The sequence below is a fragment of the Homo sapiens genome, chromosome 5 (genome assembly GCF_000001405.40).
Source record: "Homo sapiens chromosome 5, GRCh38.p14 Primary Assembly".
NCBI classification, from domain to species: Eukaryota; Metazoa; Chordata; class Mammalia; order Primates; family Hominidae; genus Homo; species Homo sapiens.
The window spans coordinates 59773215-59798270 of NC_000005.10; the positions used below are offsets into that span (position 1 = coordinate 59773215).

General features: G+C 38.4%; 1 protein-coding gene and 1 long non-coding RNA gene across 19 annotated transcripts in view; one reads left to right on the top strand and one right to left on the bottom strand.

Moving 5' to 3' along the window:
- PDE4D (phosphodiesterase 4D) overlaps window positions 1-25056 on the bottom strand; it is a 1553091-nt gene that overhangs the window by 804177 nt on the left and 723858 nt on the right. The window contains exon 1 of one of the 18 annotated variants that reach the window (XM_047417297.1): window positions 23846-23913. The exons of the other annotated variants lie outside the window; for them this stretch is intronic. Within the exon in view, the coding sequence (XP_047273253.1) occupies window positions 23846-23859 (14 nt within the window). The 5' untranslated portion in view covers window positions 23860-23913. Of the gene's footprint in view, window positions 1-23845; window positions 23914-25056 lie in introns of those variants that run through there. 18 annotated transcript variants of the gene reach the window in all.
- Window positions 8336-23786, top strand: LOC105378988 (uncharacterized). Its single transcript, XR_001742413.2, has 2 exons — window positions 8336-14675; window positions 21614-23786. It is a non-coding gene; the product is annotated as an uncharacterized LOC105378988 (long non-coding RNA).

The window sequence follows — 25056 nt, forward strand, 5'->3', positions numbered from 1 at the left end:
AATTTTAGAGATGAGGGCATAAGGAGGTTAAATAACTTGCCAGAGGTCATATAGTTTACCAATGGCATAAATGGGATTTAAATCTGTGTCTATGAGGTGCCAGAGCCTCTATTTTGACTCTACATTATACAAACCCAAAAGGAAAGCAGATCTAGTATTTAAAATTGTTTATGGTTATTTCTATGGAAAACAGTAGACACCTGGGTCCCCTGAGTTCTTGATCTAGTTAACACTAAATTTTGCCCTTGGCTATTCTCAGCATATACACTGAGTCAACCTGTAAACCTGCCAAGTCATGAAGTTCTTTCTGAGGCATGGTATTGAAGTAAGGGCAGCTGAAGGTGGAATTCCTGAGATGTTTTTTGTTTTTATGTTTTTTTCTCCTCTATATACCTGTCTTCTTTCAATATGAAGAAATTTTAATTAAACTCCATGATAGTTTTCCACTTAGCCAAATAATATATTCTAAAATTATTTTATCTTAAATTTTCATCATGATTATTTTTCATTATAAAGTTTGATGATAAAGTTATATCATCCCCTTATCTAAAAGCACATCTGAACACTGTAGAACATGGTTTTTCAAATCATCATCATCATTGACCTTTTATTAGGTACTGGGCTAGTAGGCAGAGATTTCCAAAAAAGTAAAATATCTACTTTAGAAGGGAATATAAATAAAACTCCCAACAAAGAAAATAAATACTAAGAATCAAATTAATAATAGAAATGATTGGTGCCTTCTGGGTTAAAAGGAGTGACCAATAATTTATCTAGACAGAGAATAACTCAAAAACAAGGCAGGGCTTGAATTAAGTCTTGAAAGAAGGTACATATGGAGGAATAATGAGAGGTTTGGAGAGATAGGTAGTTTAGGGGAGGTAAGATGCATTGGATTTTTAGACTTTTTACTATGGAAAAATCAGTAACATTTACGTGGTAGGTGGGTAAACAATATATAAAGAGATTTAAATAAGTTTAACCTGGTTTTAATATGTTCTATAATTTGCAAGAGGAGGATTCTAAAGATCTTATTTCAATATTTCCTATTCAATATGAATTTGTGTAGAAATGGAAAGAGAGTACAAGACTTAGAAAAGTTTGTTCATTGGCTGTATATAAGCTTGGAAGTCAATAGAGAAGTCAAAAATTCATCAGATATTTCTTATACATTCCACCCAATTAAACATCAAAAGCCAGTAAACAGTTTTTTTAAGAGTTTCTAGATTTCATTGAACAAAACAAATATATGTCTTGATTTACATGACAGCTATATTTTGAGCATATGATGTGCTCTTCTAAGATCAATTCATTTTAATAAAAAGACCAAATCTAGTTATATGGGGTTTTTTTCCTAGATTAAAACTAAATGTTAGAGTGATCTCTGCTGAAATAGTAAGTCATTATTTCACTTGAAAGAAACGTTAACATTTTATAGGGCACAACTTACAATGGCATTTTTTTTTTCTTTTTTCTTTTTTTTTTTTTTCTGAGACACAGTCCGGCTTTGTTGTCCAGGCTGGAGTGCAGTGGTGCCATCTCAGCTCACTGCAACCTCCACCTTCTGGGTTCAAGTGATTCTCCTGCCTCAGCCTCCTGAGTAGTGAGTAGCTGGGATTACAGGCACCAACCACCATGCCGGGCTAATTTTCGTGTTTTTAGTAGAGACAGGGTTTCACCACATTGGTCAGACTTGTCTCAAACTCCTGACCTCAAGTGATCCTCCCACCTCGGCCTACCAAAGTGCTGGGATTACAGGTATGAGCCACTGTGCCTGGCCTATACCAGCAATTTTAACACAGCATGTTTATTTTATTTCAGAGAAAAGTTGCAATACAATTTAGGTAAGAACCTTCCCTTTCCTCCTAATATAGTCATTCTAAAAATTCTAAGGGAAATTACTTCTAATTATTTTGCTAAAAGGAAACCCCAGAATGCCCTCTCTAAATATTACTCTGACTTCAAAGAAGAAAATAAGTTTTGATAGCCACTAAATGTTTAACATATTATAATACCCTATATTTCTGGGTTTTATTTCAGTGAGAGGAATAACCAAACATTTTGTCTGCAACTTGTCAACAACAACAACAACAAAAATCCCATATCTCAATCTGTACTAGATCATCCCTTAGCCTATTGAATTACTGAGAAAAAAATAACTAGATGTAAGTGCAAAACACTAGTGCACTAAGCATAAGCACTTTGCATTATTACATGTTTTGATCATTACAATCATTCTAACAAGGTGGTTACTATTACCCACATTTTAAATCTGAGAAAACTGACATACAAAAAAAAAATTAAATAACTTCCTCGAAGTCATCCACACCAAATGATCTCTAATCCTCAAGGTCATAATCAAAAGATTTTCAAACTCCCCAAAATTGTTCATTGTATTACAAACACCAGACATTTAGTGCACGAAAGATCTTGGGTGGACCTTCAGAATCCTTGTGCATAATGAAATTGACAAGAAGAAACAAACGTTTGTTGTCTTTGTCCACATAACAGACATGATAAGGAACAAAATCCAACAGGTATCCTAAATTCAGAGGAATATAACACAATAGTGATCTATTCAAAACTCAACACCAAGGAACACATTTCCTTATCTTTCTCTTTCATTTGCTATACCCACCCCTGACCGGCCCCCAAGAAAGGATTTTTTTGGAATCTTTCTCAAATTAGTATAATATAACTGGATAACTTCCCTCTAATCCCCATACATAACATCTGTTCCAGTCATTCTGTTTTTTGAATATGGTTTCTATGAGACAGTGTATTTCACTGAACATGTCTATAATTCATAGATTTTAATTATAGTTGGAAATTTTTTCTAAAGTTAAACATATCTAAACAATGGTTTCTCATAAGGAAATCATATTTTCAGAAATAACATTTTTTCATACCTAACTATAAGGAATCTTCTGAAACCTAGATTTTTATCTGGGATGCTTTACAAAAGGCATTAGGGAAACCAGAGTTGTATTCCCCATTTTGTAATAAGTTAGCAAAGTCACCTTCAACAAGTTCATTAAACTTCTCTGGAACTCACTTTCCCAGTATGAAGTCATATAACTTAACTAAGGTTTAATAACTTAAAAAAAATCTTATCCTAGTGTTGAATTGGGAGTTTCATTTGTCATTTAAGGAAAACAAATATCAAGTGCATCCTGAGCCAATATAGTCTCTTCCACTTTCATGCGGTGTTATTATATACCACAAATGCTTTTAGAAGAAAAATGAAAAACAAGATATTCAATGTTTAGGAAATTGAAGATGGAAAACAAGAGAGTGCTACAATAAATAGGTGCTTTACTGATGCTTTTATGGCTCTGAAACTTGGGAAACTTTTTTCCCTAACTAGGTAAAAAATTTGTTCTGATATCTGAGTCACAGCTTGGGAGATGGAGTGGGAGAGCAATGCCTAAGTTAATTTAATATTTGAAATCAAAGCATTGTTTTACTTCTAAAATAGTGAAACTACACAGATAGGTATATTCACTGTTACATAATAAGTCAAATTTTCTAAAACATCAGGGCTTAAGTTACCTTTTAGACAATTTCAGAGGAACCTCTCCACTCACATTTCACAAAGCATGTCTCACCGAAGATGAGTTTTGCCTAATTTTAATGAATGTTTCACGAAAAAAAAAAAAGCATTTTGTGATTTAAAAAATATATGGAGCTGGGTTGAATACAACTAAATGGGGCTCCTCAGAGTAAGAGCTCTCCGTCTTTTAATATGTTAATGTGATTTGTGAATGTAGACTCGCCTGGCTCTAAATCCACCTGCATCCTCCAGCATGTCCAGAGATTAATGTTTCCAGGAACCCTTAACTCGACTTTCCACAAACATCTCCTTGAACATAGCTGATAGATAATGCAAACCTTCCTGATTTTCTGGAGTGCGTTCTTTTTTCTTTTTGTTGAACTGCAGCCAAACGGAATGCTTCCAGCAGAATGATGACTTAGTTCGGGTACTGGCTGCCCTGGTAACAGCCTCCATTAGAATCAGGTTATTGTTATGGTCCTGCTCTCAGGCTAATTTCACCCTCCTCTGCAATTGGTGTATCTCCAAATGTAAAAGACATAACCTTAGCAAAGACTATGAGAGGGATGGGGCCATGCCTCTAAATAACAGCTTTGTGGACAGAAGCCTGTTGGGAGACTATGGACAAACTAACAGGACAGAAAAATATTGGACTAGATGGTACTGTTGGTAAGAAGATGTATAAAGGCAACTGAAGGCCAGACAGGTGCTCTTCAAACATTGATGGACCTACAAATCACCTGGAGACCATGCTAACATAAAGATTCTGATTCAGTACATCTGGGGTGAGGCTCGAGCTCCTGAATTTCCAAAGCTCCCATGGGATGCTATTGCCTGTCCATAGATTGCTCCATATGTATCTTGGCCTTAGATTATGTAGGTATTGATGGCTAATGAATACAGCAAAAGAAGGCAATTAACTTGGACACAGGTGATCCTATTTCTTTATATTCAGGCATTTGTGTAATGTTTAAATTCACTGCTGATATTATAATAAATCATGCAATTTCTAAAATAACTTATATAACAGTATTACATAACAAAATCATAAACCATTTTTTTCAAAAGCGCATATACACTCTAAAAGATTCCATTCTAGAAGCAAACTTTGCTATATTAAATCCACACTTTTTAGATGAGACAAAAAAAAGAAGTTGAAATAAACTCTTTTGCAGGTGTTGTGAATATCTATGTCTGTTAATAAATTATAAATTAAAAGTAATAATTACATAATTGAAAGGTAAACTTTAAGACTTATAGACTGTTTTCTGAATGTAATTTATTTAATTATTCTACAAGCATTTAATAAGACACACCATGTGCTAGGTTCTGTGGGTCCAGTGAAGACATGGTCTTTGTGTATCTGGGGATACAAGATTCATTCTTTGCTACACTCACAGTCTCCTGGGACTTTCAGTCTAGTCTACTGTGCAGTATGAAACATGCGAAGGACACTTACCATCAAGATTCACTACCACACTATTGACCTATTATCTAAAGAATTAAGAAAGTATGCATCCGCCAACTCAATACCTAGCCTTATAGTCAATCTATGGATAACTGTAAAAGCAGGTATATGCTTTTCTTTCTGGGGCTTCCCAAGAAGTTATTCTGACCTGGAAGAGCTCAAATGGTTGCTAAATTATGAAAATCAATTTGAATTTCTTTCTGAAATTATTATTTTAAGCTGTAGTAAAATACATATGAATATTACACCAATATTATAAAGGCATATATTCTAGTTAGGCTAATAACCACCATTTATATCCTGTAATTATATAAACATTGCATAAGCCAACTAGTAATTATTTAATCAATCAGTTATAAGGGAAATCAACCTATGACAAAGAAATCCTCTTGATACACCCCTGGTGAAAACACTTCAGTCTAAACAGCAGTTGCCTCATGATTCTTGTACTTTAAATGCTGGGAATATAGTAAGTGTTCAATAGACACTAGACACAGGTAGAAAAGGAAGGAGGAAATGATTTTGCCGTTTGTTTTACTATTTTTTATGCTTTTAGATAGTTAACAGGCTAAAAAGGTAGGGTGTTCAAATCAATTTATACTGATCTATCTACTAAAATTCTACATTGTTTTAGAAATCCTTTTGCTAGGCCAGTGCAGTGGCTCACACTTGTAATCCCAGCACTTTGGGAGGCCAAGTTGGGCCAATCACCTGAGGTCAGGAATTTGAGACCAAACTGGCCAACACAATGAAAACCGTTTCTATTAAAATACAAAAATTAGCTGGGCATGGTGGCACATGCTGTAATCCCAGCTATTTGGGAGGCTGAGGCATGAGAATCTCTTGGACCTAGGAGGCGGAGGTTGCAGTGAGCCGAGATTGCACCGCTGCACTCCAGCCTGGGCAACAGAGCAAGACTCTGTCTCGGAAAAAAAAAAAAGAAAGAAATCCTTTGGCTAGGCATGCTTTTCATTTTAACAATGTATTTGTTTTAAATTAGCTAGATAATATATGATGTATTCTCATTGTAAAAATGTTAAAAGTTCTGCAGAACTCTAAAGTTTCTGTAGCCCTCCATCCCCAAACTCAACCTTCCCCCAGGTAACTCTGTTACCAGTTGTGTTTGTTCTTCTAGATCTGCACTCTCCATTACACTGGCCACCATTCAAATGTTGCTATTAGGACGTGAAATGAGGCTCGTAGAAATGAGACATGAAATTTTTATTTTTATTTAATTTTATTAATTTAAACTTAAATAGCATCATGTGGCTAGTGGCTACCATAGAGGACAATAAATTCTATAGACCTCCGTGTGATATCATAAATAATTTTATGCCTATAGGATCATATATTACTGTTTTCTGAGGCTTCTTAAAAACATAGTGTTATATTTAATGATCAATCAGCAATTTATTTTTTCACTCAACAAAGATCTCTTGCTATTTTTAGCTGATGCATAGTATTCAATAGTATGGTTATTTCATATTTCATTTAGCCATTTCCCTACTGGAGGGCATTCAGATTTCCACCTTTTGACAATTACAAAGAACATTCTTGCAAAACGCATTGGGAATACATGCCAAGTATTTTTTTTAATAATAGATACTTAGAAGTAGGATTAACTGATAAGATATCAGCATTTTTAAATTTTAATAGAAACTGCCAAATTGTTCTCCAAAGTAGATTATTCAATTTACACTCCCACCAACAGTCTTTGAGATCCCACGTTTTTTCCTCAAACAGCCTTATGTTGTCATCAATTTCCCTGTACTAGTTGTCAATGCCTTTTTTCCCTCGAGAATACCTTCTATTTCTTAGGCAGAAGAAATTAAGAAGAGCGTCAGTGAGCCGGGCGCGGTGGCTCACGCCTGTAATCCCAGCACTTTGGGAGGCCAAGGCAGGTCGATTACCTGAGGTCAGGAGTTCAAGACCAGCCTGGCCAACATGGCGAAACCCCGTCTCTACTAAAAATATTAAAAAATTAGCTGGGCATGGTGGCAGGCACCTGTAATCCTAGCTACTCAGGAGGCTGAGGCAGGAGAATTGCTTGAACCCAGGAGGCAGAAGTTGCAGTGAGCTGAGATCTCACCACTGCACTCCATCCTGGAAATGGGAAGATGTATTTCACATTGCTTCTGAGTCAATGTTCAATTTTAGCTCTTTAACAATTTTAGTTGACCAAGCATTTCCCAGGAGTCTCTCTAATATGACAATGCCTACACATTATAGAAGGGTTTTGAGAAGGAAAAAGCATTAACTTTCTTTTTCGGTAATTTTCTGGCACTACTCAGTAAAATATGTTTTAAATTGCTTTTCCTATAATAAAGATAGATTGTGCTAAGCATGTATTCTTTGTGCCTAGTCCCTCTTTTACACATCAGTGTAGAATTTGTAATGCCTGGTCAGGACTCTATTGCTAGTTTGTGTAACTTTTTCCTTGAGCAAAATCAATGGTCTATAGATAAGGCCTCAGCTGTAAACTTACTGAATTCTGGCCTGACAGCAGTGTTGCTGCAGCATCCTTAGATAAGTAGTTTTATGTGAATGAAAGAACAGGAGTATAGTTTTGATTAAGTCATATTTGTCCTGGAGCCTGAGGCGAGCCAACCACTCTCTAGGGCTCAGTTTCCTTATCTAAAAGCGATGGTGAGCTGAGCGCAGTGGCTCATGCCTGTAATCCCAGCACTTTGGGAGGCTGAGGAGGGTGGATCACCTGAGGTCAGGAGTTCGAGACCAGCCTGACTAACGTGGTGAAACCCTGTCTCTACTAAAAATGCAAAATTAGCCACATGTGCTGGCAGGTGCCTGTAATCCCAGCTACTCAGGATGCTGAGGCAGGAGAATCGCTTGAACCTGGGAGGCAGAGGTTATGGTGAGCGGAGGTCACACCACTGCACTCCAGCCTGGGTGACAAGAGTTAAACTCCTTCTCAAAAAAAAAAAAAAAAAAAAAGACGGTGATAGAACAGAAGACCACAAAGGTAATCAAACCAAAGTTGTAATTGAAAAAGGAGTGTAATTCCTACATGATTGGTTTATGTAGGAACTATGTCTTACTTAGTGGTTAAGTAAGACAAAAGTGAAACAATAAAAATGTATGTTGGAACAAGGCAATTTCTTTGCTGCATCTGGAAAGTCTAGAAGACTGTTTCCCCCAGATTTTTTGTGCTACTTACAATTTAATGGTTGCAGACATGATGTACAACTTTAATAACATTTTCTTAATCAGTTTGTAGACAGTCAACACCATTAAACAAAAAATCAATTCCTGGGCCGAGCGCAGTGGCTCATGCTTGTAATCCCAGCACTTTGGGAGGCCAAGGCAGGTGGATTACGAGGTCAGGAATTCAAAACCAGCCTGGCCAAGATGATGAAACCTCATCTCTACTAAAAATGCAAATATTAGCCAGGCATGGTGGCGGGCAACTGTAATCCCAGCTACTCAGGAGGCCGAGGCAGAGAATCGCTTGAATCCAGGAGGCGGAGGTTGCAGTGAGCCGAGATCGCACCACTGCACTCCAGCCTGGGCGACAGAGCGACACTCCATCTCAAAAAAAAAAAAAAAAAAAAAAAAAAAAAAATCAACTCCTGATTTGTGGCGTATGCTGATTTCCATTTCCATTGTATAAATACCTGGACTAAAGCTGATTTTAAGCTACCAACGTTATATCAGCCTATGTGGAGTTGGGAATAACATGTCATTTTATACAGTGTTTCCATCATACAGATGCAATAAACAAATGACCTCACAAACAGAAATAACAGAATGTAGTAAAACACTTAGGAAGGGATGAGAGTTTTGAGTATGTGTTATGTTTTTCAGATAACTTGAAGTTTACATAATTAAACTTTAGATAATTGATGCATTAACAATTTGCTTAGCAAATTTCTGGACATTTAAAAATAGGTTCCTGTGAGTCAGTTCAGACCAACTCTAAAATACTGCTGCTTTTTCACCATATAGACATCCTCGAGTCTGAAAAACCTGTTCCTTTGTGATTTTCTAAGAACTATGTTGTTTTGATTGATTTTTAGAAGTTCTTTATAGTTTCTAGATGTGAGGCCTTTTCAGATACAAGTATTGCTAATATCTTAGGCTTAGTACCCACTTTTTAAACGGGAACTTGACAAATCTGGGATTTTAGTGTAGCACGTAAGTGTTCAATACATGTTTGGTTAAATAATTCCCCGTAAAAGATACTGACATGGAGAGATTACATGAGCCCCTGGATACTTAAGCCATATATTACTTTTATATGGAACCATTTCAGAGAAGGAAGTCTCTCATTTTGTCTTAATAGCATGTTTCACTATCTCACAGGCCCATAAATAGCCTACTCCAGTGATTACCACCTTTTCTGGAGTTGCAAGACCAGGAAGATCAGAATCACAGACTTTTGAGATTATAAAGGAATTTAAAGTCCTAATGGTCCTGTCCACCTTACTAGTATACATTACATATGATACCCAGCAGCATCCTTTCTGCCAAAGTAATACAGTTTATGCATTCATTTAAGAAATAGTAAATGATAAGCAATTTTGCTATAACAACTCATGAGAATTTTATGACTGTATTTGGAGACTTGTGGGAATAAAGACCAGCAATGAAAGACAAGGAAATGTAAATCCAATTTATGTAATAGAATATGATGACCCAACATCTCCTTTTTGCTCTGTGGGTTTATATTGGCCCCCCTTCACCCATGCTTTGGACTTTACCATTTCCTTCTCTTCCTCCTCCAACTTCCCTTTGCATCCTGGCCCCTTCCAAACTATGTGAGTATGGATGTGTTAATGTATTACTCCATCCAAAGGACTATAACTCATATTACCCAGGAGATTCTAGAAACAATGTCTGAACACATCACAGAAACTAAAATGAGGAGAAGCTCAGGCACTAGCAGAAGGCCTGGTTTTGGTATTCTTCCATCTACAGCTGTACAGCTGCATTCTTAACCTTGGCTGCATATTAGAATCACCCGGAGAATTTTATAAATTTCAGTGCCTGGGCCACACCACCCCAGACCAGATAAATAAGAATCTCTCAGGGTGTGACCCAGGCATCAGTTTTTTTGTAAAACTCCTCAAGTTATTCCCATGTGTAGTCAAGATTTGGAGCCATCCCAGGTTGAGGTGTATTGATATAAACCAGCATCCACATCTATAAATTAAGGCCATTTATTTTACACAGTCTTGAATAAAAAATGAGCATCTGTCTTCCACTACTGTGAGGAAGCACAGTCCCTTAAAGTAATGGTAGGTAATAATTCTTTCCTTCTCTGGGCTACATAATCTTGGCTCTTCTCTCATGCTTTCACTCTCTTAAACTTCCTTCCTCAGGCTCCTGTACCAATCTTCAATTCACTTGGGATGTCCTAGTCTAAAACATTTATTTCATTTGAAAGGAAAAATATCAATTTCTATCTAAATTGGAGTAAGATTCCATTCAGATGTGTTTATTTACAAAACATAAGTTGTTATTTATCTGTGTTTAATTGATCCTGGAACATTCCATGTAAAGAACATTCCATGTAAAGAACCAGGCAACTTGGCCAGGCATGGTGGCTCACACCTGTAACCCCAGCACTTTGGGAGGCCAAGGCAGGTGAATTGGTTGAGACCAGGAGTTCAAGACCAGCCTGGGCAATATGGCGAAACCCTATCTCTACAAAAAATTAGTGGGTATGGTGGTGTGCACCTGTGGTCTTAGCTATTTGGGAGGCTGAGGTGGGAAGATGGTTTCAGCCTGGAAGGTCAAGGCTGCAGTGAGTTGGTAATTGGGCCACTGCACTCCATCCTGAGTGACAGAGTGAGACAATCTCAAAAATAAAAAAATAAAAATAAAACCAGCCAACTTGTCTGAGCTCACAAAGGTTTTAGGACTCATCTGTGTAAGAGAGAAGTCACTGCATATCAGGAAACAGGATGAGGAGTTCCCTCCCATAACCCACAGCTCTCCAAGAGAACAAAGAGGTACATGTCTCTGATTCCCAAAAGTAACTTCCTTTTTTTTTTTTTAAAAAAAAAAAGGGGATTGTGCTTTTCAAATTTATGGATGTAAATAAAAGACCTCAGGAATTCATGGATTAGGAGCAAAAGATTAAAGTCAGTACAAATGATATTCTAAATAGGCAGAATGGGTTCAAATTCCTCTCAATTCTTTCTGATTGAATGAAAAGTAAAGAATAAAATCTCTGGCAGAAGAATATAATGAAGGGCATGGTGTGGAACAGGTTGAAACCTGCATTTCTCAAATCCGTATTGTATAAACCAGGCATTACCTTTTGTATTTGTTAAGCTAATTTGTTTTAATATTAGTATTGAAAACATGTTTGGGTTGCTATTAACATAGGAATTAGGCAGTATTTTGGAGAGCCTCTTTTGAGGGAACAAATGTACAATCAGTCATTAAAAATGTAAAAGAAAATACAAATTATAGTTTTCTAGCAATAAATTGATATCAAGCCTGTTTTAAAATGGGTGATGTGGTTTGGCTGTGTCCCCACCCAAATCTCATCTTGAACTGTAGCTCTCATGATTCCCATGTGTTGTGGGAGGGACCTGGTGGGAGATAATTGAATCATGGGGGCAATTTTCCCCATACTGTTCTCATGGTAGTGAATAAGTCTCACAAGATCTGATGGCTTTATAAGGGGAAACCCCTTTTTCATGGTTTTTCTCTCATTTTCTCTCATGTCTGCCACCATGTAAGACATGCCTTTTGCCTTCCACCATGATTGTGAGGCCTCCCCAGTCACGTGGAACTGTAAGTCCCTTAAACCTGTTTTTCTTTATAAATTACCCAGTCTTGAGTATGTCTTTATCAGCAATGTGAGAATGAACTAATACAATGGGCAAATATTTAGGAAAATTTTACTCAATACAAAGAAATCCTGGCCTCAAAACTGACATGATTTTTACATATACAATATCATGTACAAATAGTTTATAACTTAATCCACATTCTCTTCTTTCATAAGCATATAAGAAGAATACAAGCATACCTGTGGTATGGGAAATGGAAAGACTACTTACTATTCCCAATTTTGAGTAAACCTAGCTTTCATTTGTGATTATAAGAAATGTTTTTCCTAGTAAAATTCTGACCATAATATTTCTAAAAATTAACACTTCATTCATTGATTCACTAACTCATTCATACAGCTAACGTTTATTGAGCACCTACTAGGTTCTAAGAATGTATTAGTGGAAAAAGCACAAAGATATATAGATCTGGATCACTGACCTCTCCTACTACTCAGAAAGGAATCTGACCCATTATGTAACAGCCAAGAATGGTGAGCTACTGAAACACTCTTTCACCTCTTGGTATTTCAGAGGATGAATATGAGGAAGAGGATGCTATGTACATGATTAGTGGACAGACAGGTGGCTGTTTTAAGAACCACCTCTAGACAAAATAATTTGCAATAGCTCTGATAAGAAAGATGTCAACACAATTAGCTTTTGCATGCATTTTAAAAATTTTGGTATGGACTTTCCAGTGAAGGTTTTGTAAACTGATATCTCATCCATACCGAAGGATGGTACCATGTTTTTGCCGGTGGTACTCTAATGTTCAAATTTGTGAAGTAAAGTATGTGGTTTACTTGTGATGCAACTCCTGCATTTGTTGCCAATGGCAATGGTTGTTTTCTTCATTAGGTTTCATATGGTTGGTCAGGTTATGTCATGAGAATTGTATTGAGAAAAATTATGAGTTTGTTGAGTGCCAGCTCTCTGCAGTGAGAATGGTTGGGGGGTGAGGGTGGGGGGAACTGGCAGTGTTTCTTCTGGTAGGTGAACAGAAATGCAGACTCGTGGGCACTCTACACAAGCCTTTCCACATCAACTGGCCTCCCCTCTCCCCATCCCCGGCATCTATTTTCTAGCCTTTAGAAAATTGCATACATGTGTCTGGAAAGTTCCATCGATCAGCTCTTTCTGCAGCACTCCACATTTCTGTGGCTTCAGAAAACCTTGAATTGTAATCTCCCTCTTCTCTCAGGATGCATCACTGAGAAAAACTTAAATCAACTATAATTTTCAACAGATTCTAAACAGGGATTTAGAAAGATAAGGTGGTTACTGAATTGAATTAAAATAAATTCAGGCTGTAGTCCAATTGCTTCCAGCTCTTCCCCTCCCTCTGTGGGCTAACAAGTGTTTCCAAAGCCATAGGGCATTAAGAATCCTGAAACAGCTAATTAACAGGGCTGCTCTACATCACATGAAGCATGTGGGTTCCAGGCAGCTGTAAAACCTCAGCTTCCTGAGGCTATCCGAGTGATGATGAAGCACTTGGAATTGGATCTTGACATTCTGCTACCTGCCTGTGGCAGAAAATAACCTTTTTAACAGGGACTTTAGGCGAGGATAGTACTTTGGGCACAAAAAAGTCTCATTGCCATGACTATGAAAAAGTACATGAACATTTCCTCATGTTCAGACTGTGACTCATGACTGGCCTGTTAACGGACAGAGGAAGCCTCAGGCGTTCTCTTGACACATCGTCCAACCAAGTGAAATACGGGATTGGTGAGATGCTTTTTCATAGCTTTGAATCAAGTATCTTCCAAAAGGCAGATAAAACCAAGATAAAAGAGGTCATTGATGCCCTTTTTCAACATTTTTTTTTCCACCTATCTAAAGATTTCGCCAGGAGAAATAGAGGGCTAGCCTACTATATTTCACAGGGAAATAAACAAAAGCGATAATAAAAACTTAGCATTTTTTCAAAAACATTGGACATGTTGACATGAATTGGTCTCATCTCACATAGATCTGAGTATAAATTATGTGCTTTATTAATAAAATATTCTGTCACACTGACAATGTCTTATCTCTTGCCTCCAGCCTATAATCCATTTCCCATAACGTTATAACAAAAGTCTTTCTAAAACGTGTCATTCCTCTACTTGAATAACCTTGATTTCTTCCTCTATTTCATGGTAGATAATCTGCACATTTCTTATGCGCCTTATACCAAGGCTTTCACTACCGGATTCACAGCTCTGTAACTTCGTCTCAGGGGACTGGGGAGAATATTCTGGAGCTACAGAAATTTAGTTGCCGACATGCCATGTCCATTTAAACCTATTACCACATCTTCCCATTCACTTTCTTTCTGCTGAGTTCTTCGTTTTATCTTAAGGTGCTGATTCAATGTCACTTGCTTTGGGAATACTTTCTTCACCTCTCAAACAGAAGGAATCACACCCTTTGTCACTTGTATTCACTACTCTATCACCCATACACATGGGTAGGTCTGTGACTTACCTTTTTGTCCCAGATGTCTTTATTATCATCTGTAATATACAGAAGGAAGGTGATAAATGACTTGCTGAAGGATAGATGGACAGATAAATGGATGGAATTAGATCATTGAACTATACCTAAAAGCTCTTATAATTCTATATTTTTATGATTTATTTTTAATGAGGAGCTTTTGAAGTGATTACTAGAAAATATACCAATTAGCGACCACAATTAATATTCAGTGACATTTAAAATTTCAAGTGAGATTTTAATTCACTCCTTGAATTTGTATGTCTTTTATATAGGCATCTCACTACAACGACCTTAGAGGTGGCATAAACTGAAATATAAAAGCTGGGTCTATCAAGCAACTAAAATCTGATTTGATGGTTAAAAGGTAAGAGACACATCTTAAAAATGCATATGTAAAGCCAAAAGCTGGGAATGATGCTAATATATTGAGTGACATATAAGCATAGAAAATCATCCACAGATGCTAACAGTAGGCTGAATTAAAAGTATAATAGGAACAAGGTAAAGCACAACATTTACTTAAAATAACAAGCTATGTATAAAACCCAACATTCTCAGCAATAGAAAAATGAAAAAAATGCATTCTAGTATGGTGTATCTCTATAAGATAGACATCATGGAAGACTTTAAAATGATGGCTTTGATGAAGTTTAACATGTTTAATGATTTCATAAAAATGTTCATGGTACAGTGTCATTTCAAAGAAAAAAAAGAGACAAGGTTTGAAAAGGTCTAGTTAAAGACTATTTGCAGGGGATTTAGTGACCTCTTTGGAGAGAGCTCCTTGTACTGAAGAAGGAGCTGGGCACATAGAGCTGAGCCCAATAACAAAACCTTGGCTGTCTGAAGGAAGGAGGCATTCTAAATGGAATATGGCAGCTGCACTTGAATGCTTTTCCAGGGATGAATCTCTGGATCCTGGGAGAAGCAGAGAGCTTTTAAGTAAAGAGATGTTGCATATAATTCCGTACAGTATCAGGAACAAAGTGAGAAATTTTAACATCCATTGGAGCAGCTACAAAGCCAAAGCATGGCCTTGTGATAGCTGCTTGACTCCCTGGGTAACAATGAGACCTAATAAGCCTTGGGGAGTCCAGAGAGCTGCTGGTTCTGGTGGAAGAGCAGTGGTTCCAAGAAGGGGGATGTGTTCCTGTGGGACACATTTAGAACTCCCAGAAATAATGAAATAGATTGTGTAGAAGAATTGCTTCAGCAAATGTGGGAAAAAACTAATGAAATTTAAATTATTATAGTTAATGTAACCTCCCTTGTTGCATTAGGCTAGAAAGTCCTGGCAAAATTTAAAGATTCCCTTACATAGCTATAGAATAGGAAAAATTAGAAAGTTCACTTATCAAAAGCTTGTTATAGGTAGTGATATGGGCTTTACAAAAAGAAAATAAAGTAAAAAATACTCAATAATGCAAAATCCAAAATAAACACAATGTAATCATAGACCTCTTTAACTTCAACAGTACAATACTGTTTCACAGCAAACAATCACTTCACTGTTACCTGAGCTTGGTTAGGATTTGCCTGAAGTAGACAGCCACGCGTTTTATAGGAACAGAGATACTGATGAATTCAGAAATATTTTATGAGAGAAGCGTCTCCCAAACTGGGAAGCCTCACCTAAGAAATATGCTCAGATGGGCATGACAGTTGTTTCAAGTGGTGAAGACCATTTCCAGGAAGAAAATTCACAAAAACTTTTTGTTCAGAATTAAGAACAAAAAATGTGCAATACAGAGAAGCAGGCTCACAGCTCAGTATAAAGGCTGGTTTCTAAAAGGCCAGAGCTGTCTCATGACAGATCAAGCTGCCTGGAAAGGCAATATGCGTTATGTCATCTATGTTCCCAGGAAGAAGCTACCAGACATGTGCTCAAGGCAAGTCAAGTTCTGTGCCAGAGAAGTGATGAGCCTGCGTGATGTCTACATTCCTTCCAGTGCTAAGATTCAAGATCCTCAGATTTGTGTCTGGGGAAAAACAGTATTACTTGGAATGATTGTAATTTTCTTGGCTATATTGAAGTCATACAGTATATTTAATTAGTCATTATATTCCCAGCTTTATACAGGTATGAATCTATTCCTCATGGGAGTGAAAACTATGCCCTGAATGCATATAAATGGCATTTTAATCTAAGATAAAATAGAAATCCTTGATTTAGTTCCATTAGTTCTAGGTCTCTGAAGGTCTTCATATTTAATGGCTGGCATCTTTACTTGCTCCTTCAGGGTTCTGCAAAACAGGAGTTTGGGGTCAGCGTTCTTCTAGGAGTAGAGTCAGGTCCTGATTCGATTTCATCCAGAACCAAAGTTATGTTGCTCTGATTTTAGAGTACACAGAGCTATAGCACTGAAGATAATTTTGAGCCTTATAAGCTAATGTGATATTTCTTTCAGTGTGATCAATGGAAGTTGAAAAGCAGGAAGAGTTCTTTCTGTACGTTTCTGCACTTGGTGGGAGTGTCATTGGAGAGAGTTTGGGGAGGGAGGAACTGACACCATTCCTGTCTACTTTATGCCAAACCTGTGACAGAGACACACAGAGCCTGGAGAGCTACTGGAGTACCTCTATCTGTAGACGAGGAAACAGGAGCTTACAGGGGACAGTAGTTTAGTGACATGTAGAGCCCAGGTTAAAACACAGCTCTGTCAAATCAAACCTTGTCTACTTTCAAACAACTGAACACAGCAAAATAATTACATGAGTGTTTTTAAATGTTGTATTTCAGTTATTGAAAAAAGAAGCCACTCACTCTTATTTTGGAATTATTAAAGTAGCCCAGAATCAAGATTTAAGTGGAAATATTTAAGACCAAAGGCACATTTTTTTCTTACCTTCAAAATATTTCGGGCTTCATGTGAAACTAAAGCCTTTAATAAGTTGACCTCAAAGATTGAAAAGAAAAGCAGATAAGCAATTTCCCGGTAAAGAAAGATTGCTACAAAATCGCTGTAGACTGTATGGAAATTTCAAAGGGTAGTGAAAATGTGCTCTGATGCCCAAAGTGAATAACAGGATGTGTGACTAAAGCTGTTGACCTACGACCAGCTAACTCACCTCAGAACCTACGGAGCTGCTGACGTTACTTCTCATTTTCTTTCTCTTTCCCCTTCCTCTCTTTGTCCTTATTTTTGATTCCACCCTCTGCCTCCATTCTGCTTCCTCCTCTTCAATGCTTTCTGTCATCCCGTCTTCCTTCTTTATTGTTTCTCTAATTGAGCCTAATATGCAATTCATTGTGAAATTAACATGACCCTAATATGAAAATGTGTTATAGATCACGAAAAACTTCCTGTCTACTACTATGTGTCCTGTTAAACCCAGGTTGCTGCAATCTGTTTCTTTCTCTGATAATAATTTTGCTTTCATTGTGCTCAGCGTGGGTTCTTCTGAGCTCACTCCACCCTCGCCCTGGGATGTGTGCCCATGTGGTGAGCACAGGGAGGTGGGAGTGCACTGTTAATTCTCTTCCTAAGAAAGAGAATGCGCCTTGTCCCTGTCTGAGGAAGACTTCCGAGTACACAGACTCAGAGTCCTGACAGTACGTCCAGCATCACAGAAAAATCTGCCATGGCATTTTATATTCCTAATTGTTCCTAATGTCAACAGAATAACATCCAAGAGAATTCACATAAATCTCCTGTTGAGAAATTTACTGTTACAGGAGCTTAATACTTCGTAATGCATGTACAGCCTAAATATGTTGTCCTTGGATGGAGAACACATTACTTATTAAAAGCCAGGAGAACAAACACTCTACTTGATCTTAGCCAAAGGCTAAAAAGCTATGAATATAATGGTGGGAGTTCACGGCGCTGAGAGCAACACAAAACCACTTTAGAGAACCTGCACTGTGAATTCTGGTTCTTCTCAGCTGATGGCATTGCATGCTTTCTTTAACCTCATGATTCTGTGTTTTAGAATGAAGACATTGTGCTGCTAACCCTCATAAAAGCAGGGTAAATGATGGAGAGGCCAAGCACACCCTCAACTCGTATTGACAGAATTATCCCTCAAACTCCCAGAGTTATTTGACATTATTAACATGGTCTGTAGTATTCATTTTATTTATTCTTTCAAAAATATTTGTAGAGTACCTTCTCAATTACAGTCAGTCACAAGACCGGGCCCTGTAAGGGTTAAAAATAAATACTGAAATATAAGCAATATGAAATAAATTCCTGCTTCTAAAGTTACAGGTCTAGGAGGGAGCAGACAGCCCCGGGCTTAGAATCCTAAGACTTGATTCAAGTGCTGCTTCTGCCACTCACTCTCTGAGTGACCTTAGGCAACTCACTTACACCTCTGTCTCTCACTTTCTCTCCTCATAAATCACAGATTATATCCAGCTCCTGGGATGTTATGAGACAAAACGAGAGAATGTGTGAGAAACTGCCCTGGGTACTCTGACTACACAAAAATAATGCACTGCAACTAAAGTATTTTCAAAGTCTAGTATAGGATACAATGTGTGGCTCCGAAACACAATAAGTGAAAATAGAAGAGGGACCTTAAACAAGCAAATGGTGACTTTACTAAAGCAGTGACAACAGAACTCAGTTCTATGGGCTCAGAGAAGAGATAAATCCATGAGTAGTAAGGGTATAAAGGGCTTCCCTGGGGAGGAAACGTGGCACAGAAACGGAACTAAGATTAATTAAGGATGGGCAATAGGATGGTAGGCATTATTCCCATTGTACTCATGTGGAAGCTAAGGCTTGGAAATATTTCATAACAAGTCTGAGGCCACAGTAGAACCAATACGTGGCAACGCCTACATTTAAAACCAGTTTACTTTTATTTTTTTTCATTTCAAATTCCGGGCACTTAAAATACTAGCAACCAACTTTGAGGCTCCAAGAAGCTGTGTGTGTGTGTGTGTGTGTGTGTGTGTGTGTGTGTTTTGAGGAAGTGGGCATGGAGTGAAGGAGGAAAGTAAGAACACCACATGGAAAAAGCACTAACAAGGGTGGCCAATGCAACAATGCATGTGATGTATTTGGGGGATTATGGATGGAAAATCCAGCTGGCATAGAGGTTTGTGCCGTGAAGGAGAAGAACGCAAGGTGGTAAAAGCATGCTGAGAATAAGTGAATATGCAAAGGAGTTTGGACATTTTCCACTACAAAATAAGGCCTCTTTGGAAATCTTCAAACAGAGGAGTGATCTAATCCAGGTGGTTTTAAGAAGATGGGTTTGGCATCATGTAAACTAATTGACTGGGGAAGAAACAGAACAAAAAGGCCCTTGATCTGCAGAGATATGGCTCTGGCTTAGGGTAGAAGAGACAGAAGGACAGGAACTGGTATGAAGGGAGATTTGAGAAAAGAGTGACTGATTGGAATTGGAATTGGAGCTGAAGGTGGCTGTGTTAAAAAATGACTGTAGGCTTCAAGCTTAGGTGGCAGAAAGAATGATCATGACATTCACAGAAGTGGGGAAGTCAGGAGGATGCTGATATGCAGGGAAGAAGAGTCAGCTTACACCCATTGAGTTCAGTGGCAAGACAGTCAAATGGAATGTCCGATAGGTAGGAAATCAGAGCAAGACTAGCAATCTGACTGCAGACTCAGGAGTCCCCGAGGAGCCTGAGTGAGTTCCGTGGAGGTGCATGATTTCCATGGGAGCAACACACTCAGAGGCAGAATGACTCAGGAACCACGTCCTGGGAGATGTCCAGCGTCCAGCTGTGAATACCACAAACTTTTGTCTATAGTGATGATGAAATATTGACTCTGGAATTTTGGATTTTGTGCCTTAAGGGAAGCTTGCAAACGGTGGCCAAGCACCTAGAGAGAGAACTAGTCATATGATTTGTTTATTTCATGCCTGCTGAATAATTGTTTAGTTAATAAATGTCCTTATGTAAATCAGAATTTAATCTAAGATGCTTTTATTCTAATTAGGTGGTGACATTATAAGGAAGTAGTTAACTCCTCTCACCTCCAACTTCACTGGCAGTTACCAATGTCCAACCAAAACAACCAAAATGTGTTCATAATAATATTGGTTTAGGTCAGTTGCCAAAACAGTTGAACATGAACATCTAGCCTTTTAAAGGATGAAGATTCATTCATAATGGTTCAACCAAAAAGAAAAGAATGGTTTTAGAAATGTTTTCCAGGCACATTTAATGCAAAGGAAAGCTCTAGTAAAACAATTATCTGCTTGACTTGTTCATTTCACGTGGATGGGGATTAGACCTTCTGATCAACACCTGCCTATTCAACATTTATCTATATATGAAATGGCTTTTTTAATGTAAGAATTTTTTCCCCTTAGGGGCTCATAGATTAAGCCGTGGTGACAGAGAGCAATTGCATTTTTAAGTGTTACTACTTAGGTATAAATGGTGATCATCTGATTTAATCCCTATCCCAGTGGGCCATCATGAAAATACAGCTCATATATACAGCTCCTGTGGCGTGCAGGACGTTACCATGTGGTATTTGCCAATATGGGACATTGCACTCATGTGTATACACACACATGCACAGACACACATGCACAGGCACATGCACACACACAGATGCACATACAGACATGGACACAGACATACACACAGACATGGACAGATACACAGACACACACACAGAGGCGCACACACACACACACACACACACACACACACACACACACACACAGACAACTCTAGCTATCTCTGAGGTAATTCAACAAGCCCTGCAGTTGGCTTCATCTTTATATTCAGAACTTGTTTTTTTATCTTTCCTTTGAAGAGTAATCCTATCTGAGACAGAAAGAAGATGAGTCACACTGAGGCAAAACTTTGTAGGTAGAAATGTGCATAAATGCGCTTCTCTAAGATGCTCATGAAGAAAAGACAAAAGAACAGCCATGTCGCTGAGATGCCATCTGTGAGGCTGGCACAGTGAGGCACGACATCCCTGGTGCTTCCCGGCAGCCTGCGAGGGCTGCCTCCCTCCTTCCCTCCCTCCCTCCTGCTTGCAGGTCCGCTTTCAGAGCCTTCCCTCAGGGCTTATGTTCCACTGACCTATAAATGTTTACTGTAATTATACCAATTGTCACCTCCTGCATTGTCCACCATTCTTCTTGCCCTTCTCTATTTTTAAAAATTTTGTCTTCAAAATAGCATGCTTCACAGTAAAAATCTCAAGTGAAAATATAATAAAACAAACAAAACATAGTTCATCAAGGCATTCAAAACAACTCTTTGTGACAACAGTTTAAAAAACAGTGAATTAATGATGAATTGTGCAAAAAAAAGTTTAAGATGCCATCTCTGATCCTTCATATAACACTTTTTTTCAGCTGGAAAAATCCAAGAATGAATGAAAGAGCTTGTAGATAGGCCCAGACAGTGGGCAGCATGGCTCTTCTCCAGCCTGGGACACAGCTCATCACTCAGGGTGGATCCTGGAGAGAAGCTGCCTGAGTTCAGCCTTTGCCTATCCCAGTACTCACTGTGTGCACCCAGAGGAGCTTCTGTGTATCTGTGAGACCCTGTTTCCTCATCTGCAATACCAGGACTCATATCCTAGCGGGGCTCTGAAAACTAGATCAGCTAATGTAAGGCTTGGCCATGTATTTTCTCAAGAATCGTTGCTGTGAAAGAGCCAGTGAAGTCACAGAGGGTAAAGTCAATGGTCAACCTTCCTGATTAATGAATATTGATTGAGCATTCACCATTTAATAGTTAGCTCCTTCTAAGTCTAATCGTTTTTAGTTTCTCCTGACACCTGTCATGTAAGAGGCTCTATATGTGAGGATAGACTTAGGGGGCAGTTGGTTCCTCTTTTTGGACACAGAACAGGAAGAATAAAGAGATCTCAGAAGGAAAAGGAAAGTGGGAGGAGGCTGGGTCTGTGGGTTCCCCGGTGGATCACGCTGAAAGAATACCTGGCAGACACTTAATCTCTGCGGCAAATGCATGAAAGTAGAAGGATGAAGCCAACTTTCCAAAAACTTTTATGAAATTACTTCAGTGAGAAAACCTATTAAATAAATTACAGCCATTCTATAAAAATAGAATTCTATGTTACTTCTATATATATACTTCTACTATATATACTTGTACTATATTACAGTAGAAATCAGTCAATCCAATCCCCTATTGGGCAGAAGGGAAACTTGCCTCGGACCACACTGTCGGCTGGGGTCCTTAGCACGGTACTAGGTCTCCACCTCCATGCACTACCCTGGTTCAGAGCTGGTGCTATGGGTTGAATTGTGTCCCTGCAAAAATAGGCTGAAGTTCCAACCCCAGTACCTCAGAAAGGGACTTTGCTTGGAAATAGGGTCTTTAGAGAGGTAATCGAGTTAAAATAAGGTCATTAGAGTGGGCCTTATCTGATGTGAGGGGAATTCTTATAAAATGGGGAAATGCAGACACACACATATGCAGGAGGAAGGCACTATGAAGAAACAAAGAGAGAAGACGGCTATCCAAGGAGAGAGGCCTGGAACAAATCCTTGCCTCACGGTTCTCAGAAGGAAACAACCTTGACAACACATTACTTTTGGATTTCTGGCCTCCAGAACTGTGAGACAATGCATTTTGGCTGTTGTAAGCCACCTAGGTTGTGATACTTCCTTACAGCAGCCCTAGGAAATGAATACAGCTGGGGACCAGGCTTTTAGTCAAAAGATCAGGGAGGAAGTCTGGTGTCTTGGGAGAAATTTCTAGATTATAGGAGTCACTGAATATCGTAACTTTGAAAAATCCATTTTGAATCTCACCAGAAACACAAAAGCCTGTAGAAATCCAATTATACAAATTTACAGTCTAGAAAAGGAAAAAAAATGAAATTACTCTTCATGCACATTTAAGCAGAGTTTAGGACTGGAAAATAAACAAGGCTTTGGTAACTGGGGAGTGCAGTGCTAACAACACAGTTGCAGGTATGTGGCTGTGTGGGTTTGAGCTTGGCTCTGCCTTTTACCAACTCCGTGACCTTCAGTCACTGCCCCCACTGTCTTCAGCTTTCTCCAAAAAGAGTGTTGTGTGTCCTCTTGGAGGCCATACCCTGGGGTGCTCAGCACAGGGTTTCACACACAGTGACTATTAACTGGATTTTAGCTCCTATTATAATTACTAATAGCAGATAATTGCCTTATTAAAAAAATTAAAGGCAAGCCCCCAAAAGTTAAGAACATATGTACTTGTTTGCTTTTTCATCTTCTTAGATGACACTTATTTTAAGTTTTCTTTGTATGTAATTCATTCTAGCTCTCTTATTCAGCAGTATTTCTTTCATTTGAAAACAGCATAATATTTAGATGCCAAATGTGATCATCAAATGCAAGAATATGGATATCCCACTAAGCTATCTAGTTATGCTCAAACCCAAACAAGTAGAAAGCCCTTATGTACAAAGTGATTCTTTTCATGAACTTGGAAATTTTTCAAAATCAGGTTGCTGAGTTCTGATTTGGAGCAGCCTGTCGCAATACCAAATCACCTTTGAATAAACTTATCCTCTCAGCTTTTATTGTTCAGAATTGATTTCGAGGATAGAAATTCCATTTCCTTGTCATATATACCTGAGCCGTTGCATCAAATTGTCAGATCAAACCTAAAATGCAGCACTTCGCAGATGGAGGAGAGACATTCTCTCTAAAAAAAAAAAAAAAAAAGTCAACCAAGTCAGAAGTTGTGAAGCTGCTGAAAAAAGCAAAAATAAACACTCTTAAGCAGGAAAATAGAAGACCTGTTGCTTGTGGGAAATAGATTTTCTAGAAGTTAGATCAGCTGGAAATATTGTCATGGACATGCCAAAAGGCAAGTGAAGGAAATGTACTGAATGTTGTTGGCTTTGCACTAAGAGGATCTCAGGAAGCAGTTCACAAGAGTGCCACCACATGCATGGAAGGACCAGCTCGTTAGATGCTTTGGGCAAATAAAAATTTTCTGTAGAGTTATTTTGTTCTGCTGGAGCCATTAAGTGCTCCTTGCTACATGAAATGGTATATAGCCCTTCAAATGGGGGCATTTAGCAATATAAAATATATTTACCCTGTCCGTTCTTGAGGATCACTCTTTAACTGTAGAGAATATGTCTTCTAAGGCACCAGAGACATCCAGAGATAGAGGGCTGCTGATATTAATAACACATAAACTTTGGGTGAAGGCATAGGGGAAGCCAGCCCTCACTAGAACTCCACTATGCAGGCACCCCGATCTCACACTGCCAGCCTCCACAACCGTGAGAAAATAAGCATCTGTTGTTTAAGCATACCCTCTCTTCATAGGGATTATTGGAGCCTAGAAGAGTGCATGGACACTTTTCATTATTATTATTATTATTTACTAGATTATCACCCCAACAGAATAGGAACTGAATTCCTTTTTGCAAGTAGGTGTTCAATAATTATTTGTTGAATGAATGAATGCTATGGCTACTATATGGAATTTCTAGGTCAAATAGGAGCAGAAGGCTGGGGGTATGGGGGCTTGCACTTGTAATCCCAGCACTTTGGGAGTCCGAGTCTGGAGGATCACTTACACCTAGGAGTTACTAGCCTGGGCAACATAGGGAGATTCCGCATCTACAAAAAATAATAAAAAATAGCCAGGTGTGGTGGCCCGCACCTGTAATCCCAGCTACATGGGAGGCTGAAGCAGGAGGATCACTTGCACCTGGGAGGTTGAGGCTGCAGTGAGCTGTGATTGCACCACTACACTCCAGCTGGGATGACAGAACAAGTCTCCATCTCTCTCTCTCTATATATAAATGCCTGTGTGTGTGTGTGTG